The sequence below is a fragment of the Homo sapiens genome, chromosome 18, assembly GCF_000001405.40.
Source record: "Homo sapiens chromosome 18, GRCh38.p14 Primary Assembly".
NCBI classification, from domain to species: domain Eukaryota; kingdom Metazoa; phylum Chordata; class Mammalia; order Primates; family Hominidae; genus Homo; species Homo sapiens.
The window spans coordinates 27,435,243-27,456,093 of NC_000018.10; the positions used below are offsets into that span (position 1 = coordinate 27,435,243).

Here is a 20,851-nt window from a genome sequence, read left to right on the forward strand (position 1 = left end):
TTTGAACCAACTGAAACTTGAAAGGGTCCCTAAGGTTATTCTGAGAGTCAAAAATAAAACCAAAGATGAAGGACCTGGAGTTTTCAAGCACTGTTCATTGATAACAACACCCAGGATGGTGGTGATCTCTGGCTCCTAGAGGTAAGGGGGGTTATTTAGGAAGTACATGACCCTAATACTTTAGGTAGTTTTCTAAATCTCTTCTTACATGAATGCTTCTGTTGCTTCTAAAAGCTCCAGAAGGTGTACTTCTGGGCATGGGAGGAACACAGAGTGAGAAATATCTGTAATAGAGCTTTCTCTAACACCAAGAAAATATTTCATCAACACCCATGTTCAAGAAAAATGTTACATCAACCTCCATGTTCAAGAGCCCTATCATTTCTTGTAATCAGCTAAATCTTATCCTGGATTTCAGTATGCTTCCCTTTACAAGAGAATTTCTCAAAATAGTTTCTTATAATCATGGATTCCAACTCCTTTTCCCCCATCCTCTTTAAACTGACTGCAATTAGACTTTTACTCCCATTACATTACAGCTCTCTTACCGTAGTCACCAAGGGCCTCCATGTTACATAATCCAGTGACTAACCTTTAATCTTCCTACTTGACTTATCATCAGCAGTTTGGAATAGTTGAACATTCCATACCTAAAACACTTTTTTCACCAGATTCCACAACACTTTCCTGGTTTTTTTCCTATTTTACAATCAATCCTCCTTAGTCTCCTTTGCTGGTTCTTAAATATTCATGTTAACCTTTTACCACTGGAATTCTCCAGTGATCATTCTTGGGTCTTCTCTACTCTGTCCTCTGTATCTTGGTGACCTTTCTCAGTTTTATGGCTTTAAACACCATCTTCATTCTCATGGTTCCTGAGTGAACATTTCTAGCATGGAACTTTCCCCTGAACTCTTGTTTTGAATATTCAACTGCCACTGGCTATCTCCAATAGATATCTGATAGAAATCATATAATTCATGTTTTAAAAAACAGAGTCTTGTTCAGTTCTATCCCATTCAACTTGCTTCTCTTATGCTTCTTCCCACTGTGGATCACCGCAACCTCCACCTCTTGGGTTCAAGCGATCCTCCTTCCTCAGCCTCCCCAGTAGCTGGGATCATGGGCACCCACCACCATGCCCAGCTAATTATTTTTAGTAGAGACAGGGTTTCACCATGTTGGCCAGGCTGGTCTCAAACTCCTGACCTCAGGCGATCCACCCACATTGGCCTCCCAGAGTTCTGGGATTACAGGCATGAGCCACTGAGCCCGGCCAGTTAATGGCAATTCTATAGCCCAGTTGCTCAGGCCAAAAAGTTTGGGTCATCCTTGATTTTCTCTTGTATGTAGCACTGAATCAATAAGAAAATCTTGATTATATATTATATTATACATATTGTATTACATACTCCACACGTATTTAGCATCCGTCCTCTTCTCAACACAGCATTACTACCCCCTGATCCTAGCCTCAATTATTGCAATAACTTCTTAAGCGTTCTCCCTGCTTTTGCCCTTGCCTACTCACCTATCCCAAACAGCTTATTTTATTATATAAAGGAGAAAGATTCTGTTAATATATTCAGAACCTGTCACTGCTCTGCTCTAATCCCTCCAGGGCTCTTCACCATTGATTAAAAGCTGGAATCTTTTCAACGTCCCCAAGGCCCTCCAAAGCTGGAATCTTTTCAGTGGCCCCCAGACCCTCCTGCTCTACCTGTACGTCTCCTACCTCCTGTCTGAACCTGTCTCCTCCTCATATCCTCACTGACTCTGCTCCACCACACTAGCCTTCTTGAAGTTCCAGGCACAGTTTCCTCTGCCTAGAACCCCTTTCCCTGAGATGTCTGCAAGAGTTCCTTCCCTATTCTCATTCAAACCATTGTCCAATGCCTTTTCCCTGAACATCTGACTTCAAATTACCCCTCCTCTCTCCCCACAGCAATCCCCTCTCCCCATAGTGATCCTTGCTTTTACTGCACTTCCTCTACTCCAGCTTTGCAGCTCTCTCTACTTTATTATCTTCTAAAGTTCTATGTGATTTTCTTGTGTATTGTCCAGCTCCTCCGCACCTTAGAAAGTAAACTGAATCAAGGCAAGATTTTGTCTCTTTTATTCACTGCTGTCTAGATAGTTACGGGTGTAGAATTATTAGTGCTTAATACGTATTTTGGAATGCATAAATAAATGAATGAATTACAGTGAATAACAATATAATTAGTTCAAATGAAACAAACACAAAATGGAAAGAATCTGTGACCTGGAGTTCCCTTAGTTGGTAAGCACTGCCTTGAATCTAAATGATATTGGACTTTTCCAGGAGGTAGCTGCTGTCAGTCATTGGATGTTCAGAGGGCTGAATTCAGTTAGATGGCATATCGAACATGTGAAAATCTGTACTAGTTTAAAAAACTAATTTAAAGCACGAGACTTTTTGTAGAGAATTCATACATAGTGGGTGATTCTGAGAAGAATTTCCTATTACAAAATCTCTAAAAGCAGTTGTGCATTTGGTTAGAAAACTCCTGTAAACTTGACCTTGCAAAAAAGGGCATATTTTAGACCATCTATTAAATAAAGTGTACCTGTATTTATACTTTTTCTCTATGAAAACTTTAAAAGGAAAGGTTTCAAAACATAAATTCAATGTCTGAGTGAATTGGCTGCAGTTTTAAGATCAACAGTAAAAGCTGTCATCTGGTTTGTCAATTATATACAAACTAAAAGGTCTATGAGAAGGTCTCTACACAAAGGACTTTAATGACTCACAAAAAGTCTACATCAAAGTATGTGTCAAGGAACAGCTAATTAATAAGGGTCTGGTAAAGAAAGACTGACATTAATGTAAATTAATGACGTTATGGAGTTTAGCAACAATTTGCAGTTGAGGATTTACATAATCAGTCATTATAGTTCCCTGTTGTCTCTTAGGTCAATAATGTACAGTTTGAAGACATGCTAATACATATTTACTCATTAATCTACAATGCCTTCTAAGAGAGAGGCTGGGTCTCTGGTTGAATTAATTCATATTTAAATTATAATAGCAGATAATTGTTTCACAGATTGGAAGAAAAATACATGAACTTAAAGATGTAGATTAAACATTGGTCATTTATAAAACTCTTTGTGTTTATGATTAGCGTAGTAAAGACAGCTTATGATCTACCAAACATCATCGTAATTAGAGGCTCAAATGAGGCAGTGTCTCAGATCTCTATTTGCTTTGGATTGCCTGAAAAGACTGAAGGGTATCTTTGGTGAGCATGGAGGAGGCAGAAGGTGGGAGGTTGGAAAGAAGAGAGAGATTTGTTACATTTTATTTGGTCATAGAAGCACAGCAGAATCTCAAAGCAAAATGGCAACAGTGACGAGAACAAGTTATTCCAGGTCCCAGGTATTCTCTGTGACCCTTAAAAGTGAAAAATCACTAAGTGATAATTGCATTTGACACTTTCAAGTAAGTAGTCTGTTTTTTTTGCTCCCAAGTTACTGTAATCTATCACCAAAATGAATTAGAAATAAGGCTTGCTACTTTGATGGGGCCAATCATACTGACCTATTTGTTTACATAAATTCAATACTCCCTAAACAATGTACTAGCCAGAGAGACTTACTCCTACTTTTTCCAAGTTCAAATTTCCTATGTGCTATACAGTACTATTTCATAAATATCTAGGGGCTATTCTGCTGCCAAAGTCTTTACAGCCCAACCTAGAATATGAAAAATATATGATTAACAGTGACTGTGGTCATCGTTAACATTACTTAAACATGAAAGCTAAGCACTACTTCTTACTGCTAGTGATAGGGGCCAAACCTCTTCTTTTAAGATCTAAGCAAAATAGTGTAGGCTTATCTCTTAGAAGCTAAACAAAATGTTTTCAGGTTCCCAAATGGCTTATGTTTTGGATGAATGGCCTTTCCTGCTTTAGTGAGTTTACATAGACCAATGTGAGGAAATTTATCATATCATGATTGAAATGCCTCTTAAACAGGTTGCAAGGCAATGCTGTCACAGCATTTGGCTGCACCAACACTTCATTTAGGGATCAGCATTAATCCCTCATTTGCATGGACACTGACTTTGCTCCTCAAATGATATTAATAGTCATTGTAAATCTACTTTTCACGTGCTATCACTATGCCAAGATATAATGGAATGGGAAAGAATTATATGGGAATTGCTTTGGACAGCTACTCTATGTACAAGGTCAGCATCATTCAACGTTCCTGACAGTCAGAATTTGATAGCTTAAAGACAGGACATAGAACATACAAAAAATAATAATTTATTTGCTCAAGTTAAGGAAAGGCTGGTGCATAAAAATTAAAACCAGACCATCTCAACTGACTGACTGGTAAAGGCGGCATACTACGTTTTTACATTGTGTGAGAACTTCAAAATCCAGGCAGGAGAGAATTTTTGAGGGGATAAAAAAGGGGGTAAAATGTGTAATAATGAATGACTCCTAGGAAAAAAAAACTGTAATCAAAAGCATTAGATAATTTATAATTAGCTCTATAAATTTGAAGATTGTGCCCCAGATAAAATGGTTGCATACTATATTAATTAGCCATTTTCAGTGGCAATATAATCCATGTTCAGGACAATGCTTTCTTAAGAGACAAGTAGGGAAGGGAGAAAATAGGGCAATTTTCAGCCTAAACCCCACAGAAACTTTTTACATAGGTGTTGAAATAATATCACGGCCGGGCGCGGTGGCTCACGCCTGTAATCCCAGCACTTTGGGAGGCCGAGGCGGGTGGATCATGAGGTCAGGAGATCGAGACCATCCTGGCTAACAAGGTGAAACCCCGTCTCTACTAAAAATACAAAAAAAAATTAGCCGGGCGCGGTGGCGGGCGCCTGTAGTCCCAGCTACTCGGGAGGCTGAGGCAGGAGAATGGCGTGAACCCGGGAAGCGGAGCTTGCAGTGAGCCGAGATTGCGCCACTGCAGTCCGCAGTCCGGCCTGGGCGACAGAGCGAGTCCAGCCTGGGCGACAGAGCGAGACTCCGTCTCAAAAAAAAAAAAAAAAAAAAAAAAAAAAAAGAAATAATATCACTAAAAATGAAACTTCACATAAAACTCAGCTGGATATAGGTCTAGGGTGATCATGTACAGTGGCCATCCTCCAGATTAGTCTTATTTATCCTTAGAGTTCGGAGTTATTTTACTTTTGTTACTCTTCCATAGGATGGATCATGCCTGAGTGCTCTGCCCAACCCCTCCACTTCAATCTACTTTTTAAAAGAACTGTTCTCTAAAATAGGTCTAAAGAGTAGCTCTCAAAATCCATAGAAGTGTGTATTTCCTGACTAGGTGGATTCGTTTGTGGCAGATCAATGCACACACTATGAACAACTATATGTAAATACAAAATACAAAAGTTATTTTTTTTTTTTTTGATACAAGGTCTTGCACTGTCACCCATGCTGGAGTGCAGTGGTGCAATCATGGCTCACTGCAGCCTTAACTTCCTGGGCTCAAATGATTCTCCCATCTCAGCCTCTGGAGGAGCTGGGACCACCTGTGTGTATCACCATACCTGGCTAAATTTTGTATTTTTTGTAGAGATGGGGTTTCGCCATGTTGCTCAGGCTGGTCTTGAACTCCTGGTCTCAAGTGATCTGCCTGCCTTGGCCTCCTAAAGTGTTGAGATTACAGGCATGAGCTACCATGCTCAGCCCCAAAGTTATCTTCTAAAGGGTACCAGAGAGTTCCCTAAGCAAGGAGTATGAGGGGAGTTGAGATTCCATACAGAAGAGAATTGCAGTCAGCAGTTTTTCCCTGGAGGCACTTGCCCATTTTGAGTGTGGGATAGAGGCTGTGCATCTAAGATTTATCTGGGTAGAGAGTCAATGCAGGGGATAGAGAAACCGTGAAGGCTCCCAAAGGGTTTATGGAGGTGGGGTGATAAAACTGGATAGTTGATTGACCTCTAACCTCTGCTCAATTCTGAAGGTACACAAAGTGGGAGAATAAATAGCTAAGTCACAGACCTCTGAGAAGCAGAGTCGAATTTTCTTAATCTTGTAGTATGGAGAAGACAAAGATTAGAGTTCAGAATCTGTCAGGGGTAAAGACCTCAATAAACACCCCAAGGCCTTATTTGAAAAACCTGGTGGGCTATTGCCTAGGAATCAGGGTGGGCAAGAGACTGAGGCATCACTACCACACCATCACTACCATCATGCCTGATGAGACTAAGGTGATTAGCTCTCTAACCCCACCTCCTGAGCAGGAGAAAATGTTATTTCTCTTTGGAAAATGGTAGAATTATTTGTAATCTCTGTAGATTTTTTACACCCAATGTCTACAATTCCATATTAAAAAACATGACTAGAAATGCCAAGGGATGAGACCATTTAACCAAGAGAATGAAAAGAGACTTGTGACTATCCAGATATTAAAGTAAGTAGGCATTCTGTCCTAGTATACTAATAAATGAATAGAAATTTATAGACAGGATTTAAAAATAATTATAATACATATGTGCAAGAAAATAGACACAAAGAAACACAGAAGATGATTTTATCAAAAAGTTGGAATCTTAAAAATTATCAGTTGGAAATTGTAGGCCTGAACAGAACACTAGCCCAAATTATTTAAAAGGGTTAATAGCAACCAACACAATAAAAGATAAGATTAGTGAACTAGAAGACGATGTCAAAAGAGATCTCTATCTAACATTGTACTGGAGATTCTAATCAGTGCAATAAAGCAAGAAATAGAAATAAAGAGCATAAAAATTGAAAAAGAGGACATATAATGCTTATTAATTACAAATGGCATGCTAGTATACAGTGTGCATCAAAAATGCAAAAAGATTTTACAGACAACTATTGGAATCAGTAAGAGAAATGATCAAGGCCACTAGAGGAAAGATATTATATGAACTTCAATTTTATTTCTATATACCAGCAACAAATTAATAGAAAATAAAATTTTAACATTTTTACACTGCATCAAAGACATCAAATATTTAGGAATCAATAGAATGAAAACCTCTGCAATGTAACAAAATTTAGTGAGATTTTAAAGGCCTGAGTAAACGGAGGTTTGTATCATGTTCATGGATTACATTCATTATTGTAAAGTTATAGATGGCTTCCCGATTGATTTATGGATTCAGTGAAGCCTAATCAAATTCCTATCAGTATCGTGTGTATGTAAGAGTATGTCTGTGTGTATAAAATGACAAGCTGATTCTAAAACGTATATGGTAATACAAAGACCTAAGAGTAGTCTGAGTAATACTGAAGAAGAACAAATACACTATCACTAACAAATACACTAACACTGAAGAAGAACAAATACACTATCATATATCAATATTTTCTTTACAACTCTAGCTATCAAAATAGTGTAGTATTTGTGCAAGCATAGACAAATAGATCACTACGGTACAAATAGAGCAGAATTGCAATAGTTATATTGCACCACAGTAGGCAAAAGATGATCTTTTTTCATTAAATCATTCCGGGTCAATTGGATGGACATATTTTTTAAAATTAATCTGGACACCCTACCTCACAGCACACTAAAAATTCAGTTTCAGATGGACTCAGGTATAAATGCAAAAAGTGAAAGAAGTATTCTTAACAATAGCAGAAAAATACCTTTATAACCTCTAGGTCTGAGATGATCTGAAAAGAACAGATATCTCTAACAGTATATTTGGAAACATGACCGTCATCCCATAAAGCTTTGACACCCTTGTGGGAAAAGGAGGACAAGTGAAGGAGAAGCAATAAAAATTTAGCAAATGATGAATCCCTAAAGGCCAAGCACTCTGAACCCAGCCACTTGGTCTGCTTTTCCATCTTAATTGACGTCCCTACGAAGGATGAGGAAGAGAATCTGGGTGGAGCTTTACAAAGTATAGACAGCCCCTGGAAAAGAACTCATTATATGGCTTGTCCAGGCACGTGTGGTCTCAGGCAATCTCAGTGAGTATCTCTGGATTAAGTGTGAGCGTATCTGAGAGGCAGGGCAAACACTTAGATTCTAGGTATAAGCTGGGCCCGGTAATATGAGAGACAATGGAATTCACCATGAAGTTCAGGAGCCGAATTCAGAACCATATGGAGAATTAGCATCTTCAACATCTAAGATGCAGATGTCTTCCCTGTCCTAACTCCATCAACTTTCAGTTACCAACTATTAACTTGGTAGTGTCACATAATAATACAAAAACAATAGCTAGAATGTATTGAATGTATTAAGGGGCTCACTGTGTGTTAGTTCCATTGTAAGTGCTTTTTATATGTTAACTCATTTGATCATCACACAATTCTATGATGAAACTATTGCTATTATACCCACTTTACAGATGAGTACCCTAAAGCAGAAAAGGTAAAATACCTTGGACAAGATCTTAGAAATAATTACTGATGCAGCCAGGATTGAAACTCAGGCAATCTGGCTCCCAAAAGAACACATTTTCATTGTTTGAGAAGTAAGCCTTGAGGATGAACTCAGATTATAGTTTTTATCCCACAGGAACTCAGTACCCTTGAGTTCAGCACCGAGTATTGACAAACTAATAAATCTACATTATATTTCTTACATGTTTGTTTGTGGACTAAAGTCTGTATTTGCTTTATAAGCAGAAGCAGAGAATATGCCCTGAAAAGCAGGCATACTACATGCCAGGCATTTTTGCCTTGAATCTTGAATGAGAAATTTTTGTTTTAATTTTTGAATGAAGAAACTAGAAATTCATAGATTTATATACATAGAGTTTCTACACATATAAAGTGGCAGAATTAAAATTAAATCTCAGGAATCTTCATGTCTGGTTTATTATTCTTTTCATAATAGTCATTCTCAAACCATTCTGAAAACTAGTTTAACAAAAACTAAACATCATGAATTAATAGATAAGAAACATTTTATGTTCGAACCTAGTTTGACTTCTAGTTATAGGTGATTAGGAAGAAAAACATCAGTAAATAATCACCTAATTGTTTTCTAATTTAGATTATGTGACTTAGCCAAGGAAAAGTAATTAGATATGATTTATTGCAGTTTCTTCTTCTATTTTTTTTTTTTTTTTTTTGGCAGGATCTAGCTCTGTTGCCCAGGCTGGAGTGCAGTGGAATGAATATGGCACACTGCAGCCTTGACCTCTTGGGCTCAAGGATCCCCCAGTCTCAATCTCCTGAGTAGTTGGGACGACAGGTGTGTGCCAGCATGCCCAGCAATTACTGTGGTTTCTAACCCACCTTCTAGGTAGAATGGTGAAAGCCTAGAGATTTTTTTTCACCCAAGATCCTAATTTTCTATGACTTTCCCAAAGCTATTTTCATTTTAAACCATAGATTTCCAAAGAATGAGTTTTTTCCATAGCAATATCTACCTTCTGTTACTAAGAAGCAAGAAACAAGGGGTGGTGGCATGTGAGAAGATCCTATCAGGAGAACAATACAGCTTCTATGGCCTTGATTTTGTCCATTTCTGGACTTCACATTCTTCACAACTCAGTGGCAGGTGAGATATATTTTCCTAGCCAGATCACTCTTCTTTCTATAGAAACTTTAATATAGATTTCGGACCTCAAGTTAAGCCCTAGATCTTCAGGACTGACAAGACTCTCTGGGATGAGGTTTTCAATGCTGAAGATGAAGCCACCTTGATGATATTCTCAGATAATCACTGATCATCTTCATCTGATTACATCTTTACAACAAGCCCACAGAAAGGATTCTTTCCCCATTTACCAAGGCTCAGAGAGATTGGGCTGCTGCCTCAAGGTCACAAAGTCAACAAATGGTAGGGCTGGGATTTGAACCTGCATTCTCTCTGACTTCAAAACCCAAGTTCTACATTACTGCCCTGCTGGAAAATCTCTTCGCTACTTTAGTAAGGTAACAAATGGGGATTTTGTGTATTGATATATTGGAATTTTAAAAAGAGACTTAGAGAAATACGACCCTCAATTAACAATTTGAAGCTGTTAACTTGATGAATGATGTATAATGATAGAACATGAATTGTACAGCACCTGTTAATAATTTCCTGAATAATTGGACAGCTCATTTATTATCTGAGTCCCTTCAGCACCCTTTGGGTATTCCAAAGGCACACTGCTTTTGGGACCAGCCATGTTCAGCTGAACAGAATCCTAAATCACCTAACATGGCTTCGGAGTAGGATGATTGTGTTTCACTTTAAAATGACTAGAAATTTTGTACCTTAAGCTAAATGAATATACTAAATTTTAGTCCATATTGTCTAGTTCTAATGAAACAGTTACTCCTTCCACCAATCTAAGGGCATTAATTGGTCTAAGTCCTGGGGTTAGTCAGTGTTATTAGTTATTAGTTTCCTGTTGCTGCTGTAACTAATCACCACAAACTTAGTTGCTTAAAGTAATACAAATTTATTATCTTACAGCTCTGAAACCAACATGGGTTGAAACCAAATTGTTGACAAGACTGGGCTCTCTCGGGAGCTCTAGGGGAAAACATATTTATTTGCCTTTCTCAGTTCCTAGAGCTACATTCTTCAGTTCATGCCCCTTTCTCCATTTTCAGTTAGCAGTGGAGTACCTTCAAGTCTCTTTGCTTTCAATATTCTGTAGCCTTCAGTCACCCTAATCTCCAGCCTCCCCATTATAAGGATCCCTGTGATTGTATCAGGCCCACCCAGAAAACCCAGAATAACTTCCCTATCTGAAAGTCCTTAACTTAATTACATCTGCATTGTCTATTTTGCCAGATAAAGTAACATTCATAGGTTCTGGGGTTAGGACATAGACATCTTAGTGTGGGAGAAGAAGGGATTATTTACATACCAAGTCAGACAAAATTTTTCTATTTTACGTTTTAAGATAGTGGAAAAGAGGTTTTAGGTCATGTCTTAGTTTGTTTTGTGTTGTTGTAACAAACAACCATAGACTGGATAATTTATAAAGGACAGAAGTTTATTTTCTAACAGTCCAAAATCTGGGACATCTAAGATCAAATTACCAGCATCTGGTGAGGGCCTTCTTGCTGCCTCATCCCATGGTGGAAGTGGAAGAGTAACAGTGAATGACAGAGAGCAAGATGGGAGCTGGACTTGACCTAAAAAGAACCCAGTCCTACAATAATGAATTGATTCCCACAATGACAGCATTAATCCATTCATGAGAGCAGTGTCCTCATGACCCAAACAGCTCCCAATTAGGCCCCACTTCCCACTTCCTAGGCTCAAGTGATCCTCCAACCACAGCCTCCTGAATAGCTAGAACTACAGGTATGTGCCACCACATCCACCATGCCCAGCTAATTTTAATTTTTTTGATAGAGATGAGGGTCTTACTATGTTGCCCAGGCTAGTCTTGAACTCCTAGGATCTAGTGATCCTCCTGCCTTGGCCTTCCAAAGTTTTGGGATTACAGGCATGAGCCACTGCACCTGGCTTCATTTCCATCACATGAAGTTTGGGAGACACATTCAAACCACATCAGGGTGTATTATCAATATTGAACTATCGGTAAGCATTTTAGGAGTGGTTTATTTTTCAACTAAGCTAATTGTAAATAGTCATTATTATAGAATAAGTACTTTTTTTGGAAAAACTAATCATAAACTAAAGCAACACGGATAAATTAGAAACCACTTCTTGAAATACACATGGTAATTGTTCTTCAAAGATACAGCGCTCTTCACCTCATTGGTGAAGTAAATAGGAATCTTGCCTCAAATAGTAAAGAATAATAAAAATAAAAATAAAAACACTTAATGTTAGCCACTTGTGATTCAGAGGGTTTTTACAGTGTTAAAAGCTTTTCATAAAACCAGGAAGTTGCAATAATATTTAAATCAATGTCACTCAGATGTCTTTGCAAGGCAAACAAAGCTCTATCAATTGAACAACCAAACCACTGTTCAAATTAATCAGTAGGAACTTGATAAATTCCACTGATGTAGAAAATTAGCACTTTGCATGTTTCCCAGATTTTGATTTCATTTGGGCGTCTGGTCATGAATTATAACCACTCTTCTTGGACTCGAGCTATTTCACTTGAAATCCATTATTTCTAGCAGAATTATGAGTCTTGTTAAGGAAATGCCAGCTATTTCCATTTTGAGCATCTGCACTGCAGTTCTATTATTAACATGGAGTTCATCTTAAAAAGAGGGAAGAATTAGATTTGTGTCTTTGGGGCATTGTGGGAGGGGGCAGGTGGTGGTGATTGGAGCTTCAGTGAAACAAACAAGCTCACAAGGCGGCTTCCAATTGACACAGCTGTCATGTAAATATCTGTCCCTGCTGTATAGCTAAGGGATCCTGGGCTTAAAGACCTTATAGCCATATGTAAACAATGCAGTGCTGATGACAGGTCTATAGCACTGGAGAAAACATGTGCAGCTGTTTCATCCTCCTTCCTATGGAGAGATACAAATGTTCAGGAGGCAGATCACAGGTGCTTAAAACTCAGTTTTAGAAGCTTACAGAGCTAGTCCTGCTTCTGTGATGCACTTCACATCACTGCCTTCCGGGTCATGCCGTAATAGCCCATGGTGTGAATGCTTCTGTGCGGGCTCCCTACTGGGTCTCTCACTACCTCTCTCTTCTGCTCCTCCAGCTTCAGCCCAATTGTTTCCCCTGAGTGGCAGTTAGGCAAAGCGTCTCTTTCACCACTGGATGCAGAGGGAACCCCTGACCTATGCCTCTGCATGTTGCATTGATCAGAGGGTTCCCCAGATCAAAGAATCGAAGATGCTACTGCTCAGATAGGTCATTTACTCTGTTCTCTGCTTACTGCTCTCTTCTCTTCACAGCATTTTTTCCAGTATTTAGCCCAGGCTTATTACAAAATAATCAAACAGGAAACAAAGTATTGTTTCAGCCAAGGTTCACTTAGTAAAAGCGAAAGCACAGTTGATGTGACATATAAAAGTATTATGCACATGTCAATTTGAAGGCAATAAATTTTTGCTTCCTCTTTCAGTTCTTCAAATTAAAACTGAGGTGACTATGTACAATTTTTCAGGTAAGTAAACTTGTGTTGAGCTTTGGAGACTTACCTGGATTCTTTGGGTTAGCATAGTATTTCATGACCTGAATTATTCAGAGCCCCAAATTATTTCAGTATATTTTTCTGGTCACATTATGTGTTTAACAGACACAAGTCCAATAGCAAGGCTGATTTTTAAACAGGCATTTTCTTTCTTTTTTTCTTATTTGAGCCACTTCCTTAAGCAGCAGTTAGATGTTTGAGCTCTACTAGCAGACTAAGTCAATTTAAATCCAGACATATCCACTTATTACATCTGAGATTTTGGGCAAGTTATTGAAACTATCCAAGCTTAAAATTCCTTATTGTAAAATGGGGATAATAACAGTACTTATCTCTTAGGGTTGTTTTGAGGATTAACTGGATAATCCATACCAAGTCTTTAGTTTAATTTCATGCACATAAAACCACCCACTAAATATGAGCCATGATTATGATTCTCATATTTGGAAGAATACCAGCGTAAGTTAGAAACGCTTAGCTAAAGAAAAAAAAAACACTTAATAGTAATCCATACATAAATGCCTTCTCCAACTTCCAAACCTGTAACCTCCAAAGATTTACACCTAGCTGTAGTCTCCCCTGAAAACTACCACCTTTTGTGCATCCCAGTACAGTATATTATCCAGGAAACCCCCCCTCCCCTTCCATAAATCTAGAATTCTTACCCTATTTTTTTTTAATTCAAAAAATGCTGGGGCAGAGATCCAAATAAATGCAACTCAGAACTCATACAGTTCTACTTTTATGAGAATGGGTAGAAAGCTCTAACTGGTGTACCTAACATATTGGTTTTTTTAAAAATATTGAGTCGAGATGCTCAGTTATAGACTGAGCTGAAAAGGCTTTTGTAGATGAGAACAGGAATTTAAACACTCTGAGAATGTTGTCTTAAGAGAAAAAGTTCAGCCGAATTAAATGTGAAGGAGTTTAATTGAGCAATGAACAATTCGCGAATTGCGAAGCCCCCAGAATCACAGCAGATTCAGACAGACTCCAGCACAGCCACGTGGTGAAAGATTTATAGACAAAAAAAGGGAAGTGACCTACAGAAATCAGAAGTGAGGTACAGCTCAGCATTAGCCTTAGTTGAACACAGTTTGAACACTCGACAGTGTATGAATGGTTGAAGTTTGGCTGCTGGGATTGGCCAAGACTCAGCCACTGTTACAGGTGCACACTCCGAAGATAGGTTCTCAATTTTGTCTACCTATTATATTAACTTAGGTTGCAGTTCCTCCACAGACTCAAATATAGAAGTATGGAGTCGTTCTCAGGCCATATGTAGTTCGATTTAACAGCTGTCTCTTTGGAAAAGTTTGTTCTGAGTTCCAACAATTGACTTACAAGTTGACCTGGGAACACAACCCCTCCATGAATTGATCAATTACTGAAACTCCACAAAATAAGATGAATCCGTTTACATTTTAAAACAAATAGAGGAAGGTAATGGGGATGCATCTTTTTCCTGTATCTTTTTTTTTTTAAGCAGACTTTATTTTCTTAGAGCAGTTTTAACTTCACAGCTAAATTGAGCAGAAAGTACAGTGTTCCCATACACTGGCTGTCCCTACACTTGCACAGCCTCCTCTGTAATCAACATCTGACACTAGAGTGATGTATTAGTTACAATCAATGAATCTGTATTGATGCATCATTATTACTCAAAAGTCCATAGTTTATAGCAGGGTTTACTATTGGTGTGGTATATTCTATGGATTCTTAAAGGAAAATTCTATGGATAAATAGAAGTGGTACATTGTTATAAGTTTTGACAAATGTGTGACATGATCACCATTATAGTATCATACAGGATAACCTCATTGCCTTAAAAATCCTCTATACTCCATGTATTTACCTTCCTTTCCTCCTAATACCTGGCAATCACTGATTTTTTTTACTGTCTCCATAGCTTTGCATTTCCTAGAATGTCATGTAGTTGGAATAATACTGCATGTAGCCTCTTTAGATTGGCGTCTTTCACCAATCTGAATGCTTCTAAAGTTCCTCCATGTCTTTTCATGGCTTGATAGCTCATTTCTTCTGAGTGTTGAATAATATTCCATCGTTAAATTGGATTATCAGTTTATCTCTCCATTCACCTAATGAAGGACATCAGGGTTGCTTTCAGTTTATAAAAATTAAACTGAAATTTACAGAAATTTATATTTAAAGAAATTTAGAGTTTATGGAAATTAAAGCTACTGTAAACATCCATGTATTGGTTTTTGTGTGGGCATAAGTTTACAGTTTATTTGGATAAATACCAAGGAGCAGAATTGCTAAATTGCATGGTAAGAAAGTGCCAAACTGTTTTCCAAACTGGCTGTGCCATGTTGCATTCCAATCAGCAATGAATGGGAGTTCCTGTTGCTCCACATCCTTGTCAGCATTTGCTGTTGTCAGTGTTTTGTATTTTGGCCATTCTAATAGGTGAGTAGTGGTATGTCATTGTTGTTTTAATATGCAATTTTCTAATGACATGTGATGTTGAGTACTTTTTCATATGTATACTTGTCTTCTGTATCTTTTTTATGAGGTGTCTGTTCAGGCCTTTTGCCCATTTTCAACTGAGTGGTTCATTTTCTTATTGTTGAATTTTAAGATTCTTTTGTCTATTTTGGATAATAGTCCTTTGTTAGTTGTGACTTTTGCAAATGCTTTCTTCTTGTCTGTGGCTTGTCTTCTAATTCTTTTAGTAGCACATTTTGCAGAGCAGAAGTTTTCAGTTTTAATGAAGTTCAGCTTACCAATTATTTCTTTCATGGATCATGCCTCTGGCATTATATATAAAAAGTCATTACCAAGTCAAAGGTCATTTAAATGTTCTCCTATGTTATCTTTTTGTAGTTTTGTAGTTTTTGCATTTTACATTTACATCTATGATTCATTTCAAAATATTTTTTGTGGAGCATGTAAAGTCTGTGCCTAGATTCCTTTTTAAATTTTTTTTTGCATGTAGATGTCATCTTTCTCCAGCACTATTTGTTGAAAGACTATCTTTTCTCCATTGTATTGCCTTTGTTTCCTTGTCAAAGATCAATTGACATTTGTGTGAGCTTATTTCTTGTCTCTAACTGGTCTCTATATTATGTTCCATTAAACTATTTGTCTTTTTAAATTTTTATTATTTAGAGACAGAGTATCACTCTGTTATCCAGCTTTGAGTGCAGTGATGAGATTGCATGATCGTAGCTCGTTGCAGCCTCAAACTACTGGGCTCTTCTCCTACCTCAGCCTCCTGAGTTGCTGGGCCTATAGTTGCAAGCCACCATACATGGCTAATTTTTAATTTTTGTGTAGAGACAGAGTCTCACTATGTTGTCCAGGCTGGCCTCAAAGTCCTGGCCTCAAACAATCCTCCTGCCTCTGCCTCCCAAAATGTTGTGATTACAGGCATGAACCACTGCACCAGGCTATTATTTTTTCTTTTTGCAATAGCATACTGTCTTGATTACTGTAACTTTATACTAAGTCTTGAAGTCAAGTAGTCCCAATTTTGTTCTCCTTCAATATTGTTTTGGCTATTCTGGGTCTTTTGCTTCTTCATATAAAATTTATAATTAGTTTTTTGATAACCGCAAAATAAGTTGCTGAGATTTTGATTGGGATTATGTTAAATCTATAGACCAAGTTGGGAAAAATCATATTGAGTCTTTGTAGTAATAAACATGGAATATCCCTCCACTTAGTTCTTTAATTTCTTTCATCAGAGTTTTGTCATTTTCTTCATATAGCTCTTGAACATATTTTGTTAGATTTATACTTAAGTGTTTCATGGTATTGGTTGTTAATGTAGATGATATATTTTAATTTGAAATTCCACTTGTTCCTTGCTCATATATAGGAAAGTGATTGATGTTTGTATATTTACCTGTATTCTACAACCTTGCTACAATTCCTTAATAGTTTCAAGAAGTCTTTATGTTGTTCCAAGACATTTTTTTGTTGTTGAATCTGTGGGAGTTTCTTTCTTTCTTTTTTGTTTTTTGACTCCTGATTTTATTATTCAGTTTCTTTTTTTCATTTAAAGTAGTCTTCCATGGTTGGAAAGGCTCACCTCCCAAGACCAGAGTCAGCTGGAGCTGGTTGTTGCTGGAAGGGGGTGGGATGGGGAACTGGGATGGGGGCAAGGAGACCCCTGCTCTGCTGGTGGTCCCAGGCGTAGAAGAACTGCACTTCCCAGAGCCTGGGATACAGTGGGAAGGGGATGAGGCAGGAGCAGCAATCTGGGGAGAAGGCCCCACCCCAGTCCCCAGCTTCCTTTTCTTCTAATGTTTCCCTACTGGTGGTGTTCTCTGGGAGGCCTTCTTTTTTTTTCTTTTTATGGGTTTTTCAACTTGAAGAACTCTGTAGGAGGGTCTTTAGCTCTGGATCCTGGACCTCTATCTCAGACTTGTAGAGGTCAGGCTCAAAGGGACCACTGGTTATCAGCATGGAGCCACTGGGCATGAGCAGAACTGTAAATTTAAACTGGTCAACAGATTCACCCTTTTTTTCATACAGAACATTAAATAGTTGCAGCAGTCCATGTTTGGTGCACTCCACCACACCCATCCAAGCCTACTTCTCATCTTCAAATGCTCTTAAAGTAAACAACAAAGCATTAAAACACCTTTCCACCTCGCTGAAGAAGGCACGTGAAGTTTGCATTTGTAGTCCATATTATTTAGAGGGGTCTCCTTTGTAAATAGTAGTCCTGCATCCTTGGCCTTGCCCTCTCCTATGCTGATGAAAACATCAAATTCAGCTTTTTCATGGTCCTTCTTCTGCTGGTCTGCAGGGTTCTGGGTAACAGTTTTCTCACCATCAATGACATGTTGCTTCAATTGGTGTGACAGCATATCTTCTACTGGCATGCAGTTAAATGAATGACCAACTTTGTTCCAGGCTTCTGTCACTTGTGTGTTATGGTTTCCAGGTTTGACCAGGCATAGGGCAGCTTCAACACAAAGGTGGGCTGCCTTAATAACATCTGCTTTCTGCCTTGTTATTTGGATCCCCTGAGCTACATCCACCACAAAAGTATGAGTTACATTAGCGATGAAGCCATCCACTTGGACACCAAGGTCAATTTTTACCAGGTTACCTTCCTTGAGAATACAGTCTTTGTCACTCTTCAAAGGAGAGAAGTGACCCACACAGTTATTTACCAAAATGCTGGTGGGAAAAGCAATACTTTTCTTCATTTCCTTTACTTTCTTGAAGATTTTCCCTGTTTCTGCCATAATCATGGCATCACCTTCCTCACACAGCCTCAGTACTCACACACCTGAGCTGGATGCTTCCACCAAGGACCAAAGTACCCAGCTGGCGATGTCACCCACCCATCTGATACTTGGTCATGACCAGGTCCTCAGCGATAGTTTGCTCTTGCTGCTCATCCCTGCCCAACATCTTCCTACCACCAGCAGTGCAGCCTCATTTTCCCTGAGCCACCTCCTCTGTCTCCCATCCCAGCTGCAGGCTGTGGTCAGAGCACACCTTGGATCCTCGAGAAGGGGGCAAGTGAAAGCGCAAGTAAGCAAGAGAGCAGGCAGGCAGGCGAGAGCGAGATTTTGGGGATTCCTATATATGGGTTTACATTTTAATGTCAATGTTTATTTTTTAGAGTCTGTTAGGAAATTTTTGTATTTGTTAAACCTAGTGTTCTCCCTATTATGTATAATGTATAACTGAATAAGCATTAGTAACTTTATAATTTTTTTTGTTGTTTTCAGGTACTTAGGGTTAAGGAGAAAGCAACAATTTGTTGAAAATATATCTTTAACACCTTTCTAATGATTGCTAGTACCCATTCTTAAAAACATGAAAGCCATTATTGACCACTGATCAGGAAACTGCATCTAAGTATGACTTAACAGTATTATTTGGTTTTCATTGTATTTATTTTTACGTATTTACCAAACATTCATGGCAAACGGTATTAATTTCTTACTTACGGTACTGATTTAAATTTTATATTTTACATAATTGTGTTGCAGGACTTTTCCTTACTTCAGCTAAAGACGGGGTTCTTGTCTGGCCCACGACCATGAAAATTTAGGTTCACAGATGGTTTAAAGGGTGAGTAAAGCAGGGTTTTATTGGGTGAAAAAGGGGAAAAAAAAACCAAGGGAGAAACCCTCCGCTACAGCACTTCCTGCCAGAGGGTTGGAATCCTAGGTTCCGCACAGGAAGAGGAGGGGCCAAGCTTCACCCCACTGCAAAGGGCATGAACTTCCCAAGGCTCCACCTCAGTGGGGAGGCTGGTTGGAGTTTCTCCAGGGACCGCCTCCCACCTGGCTGTCTCAATTGTTTTTAGGTACAAATAGCAAGTTGATGCAAAGAAAAATATATAAAGTAAATCATGGAGATTATATGTGATTTGGCAAAGGTCATGAAGGATACCATCGCTGAAACTAAACTTTGGAATAAATTAGTCTTATCAAATTACAAAGGTAAGATAATTTTTTCTTTTTTTTTTTGAGACAAGAGTCTCGCTCTGTCGGCCAAGCTGGAGTGCAGTGGCGCCATCTTGGCTCACTGCAAGCTCCGCCTCCTGGGTTCAGGCCATTCTGCCTCAGCCTCCCGAGTAGCTGGGACTACAGGCGCCCACCATCACGCCCAGCTAATTTTTTGTATTTTTTTTTTTTTAGTGGAGACAGGGTTTTACTGTGTTGGCCAGGATGGTCTCGATCTCCTGACCTCGTTATCCGCCCTCCTCAGCCTCCCAAAGTGCTGGGATTACAGGCGTGAGCCACCACGCCCGGCCTGGTAAGATAATTTTTAAAGGTGCTTAACAGTTTAATCATGATCTAGGCCAAATTTTTTAAGTGGAAATTGCTGGTCAGTAAGCTCTAATCACTGTAAGACTGAGGACTATATTATAATTGCATGTGCAAACTTGTGGCTAGCATAATGCCAGAATTCAGTAACTATTTGTGGAATAAATGAGCAGATGAACAGATTCTGCATTCCCATCTTCTTTCTGGCATCAGGTCTCAACTTCAAAAATTTCTTCTTTGCCTACCAAGTACCTGGATACTTGACTCTACCCCTTGGCTGTCACAATGCCTCTAAAAATCTCATCTGTACTCTGTAGTTCAAAATTGTGTTTCCTCCTCTCATGGCCAAAGCTTCCTATTGTTTTGAGATTGATATTAAAATTATGAGATTGTAAAGTCATTCATACTAAGCTGCAGAACTGACATGTCTAATTGCCACAAAATGGATGTCATTTTAATTGATGCCTTTCTGAATCCAAAGTAATGCCTAATTGACAAAATGCATTAATAACACTCATCTTAAGACTAGGGACTTTCTAGATGTAACATTTATATACTGCACAAAAAAGCGGAACCCTATCATCCACTCATTCACTGGTTTTTCAAGTTCTTGTTAGTGTAAAAGAATTAGGAGAATTGCTAGCAGTCCTTGTAACACTGGCTGGCTAGGTTTTAGTAATAAAAGCACCTAAGGAGCTTTCTTAAACTGCAAATTCCTAGGCCTTATCTTCCGGATATTTGCTTTTAGTTTTTCAAGTGAAGATATCACGACCCAGTAAGTTTCAATGACCTACCCAAGGTCATACAGACAACTTGCTGTCAGCTGGAACTAACTTTCCTAGCTCTCACTATAGGGTTCTTTCTATTATAGAGACTATGATGATTGAAAACAGCTCTAAAACTTTTGTTAAATCCCTGAATTCTTAGTTTTTAAGAAAAGGAGACATGTTACTAACAAGAGATATTTTTGAAAAGGGCTTGACATTTTATGTTTATGTGTTTTGCTGGCATGGTTGATAGGAAAGCATCTTACACAGCACACACTTACGTTTGTATAGTTGGTTAT

General features: G+C 38.5%; 1 pseudogene; it reads right to left on the bottom strand.

Moving 5' to 3' along the window:
- PA2G4P3 (proliferation-associated 2G4 pseudogene 3) lies at window positions 17,006–18,574 on the bottom strand (annotated as a pseudogene).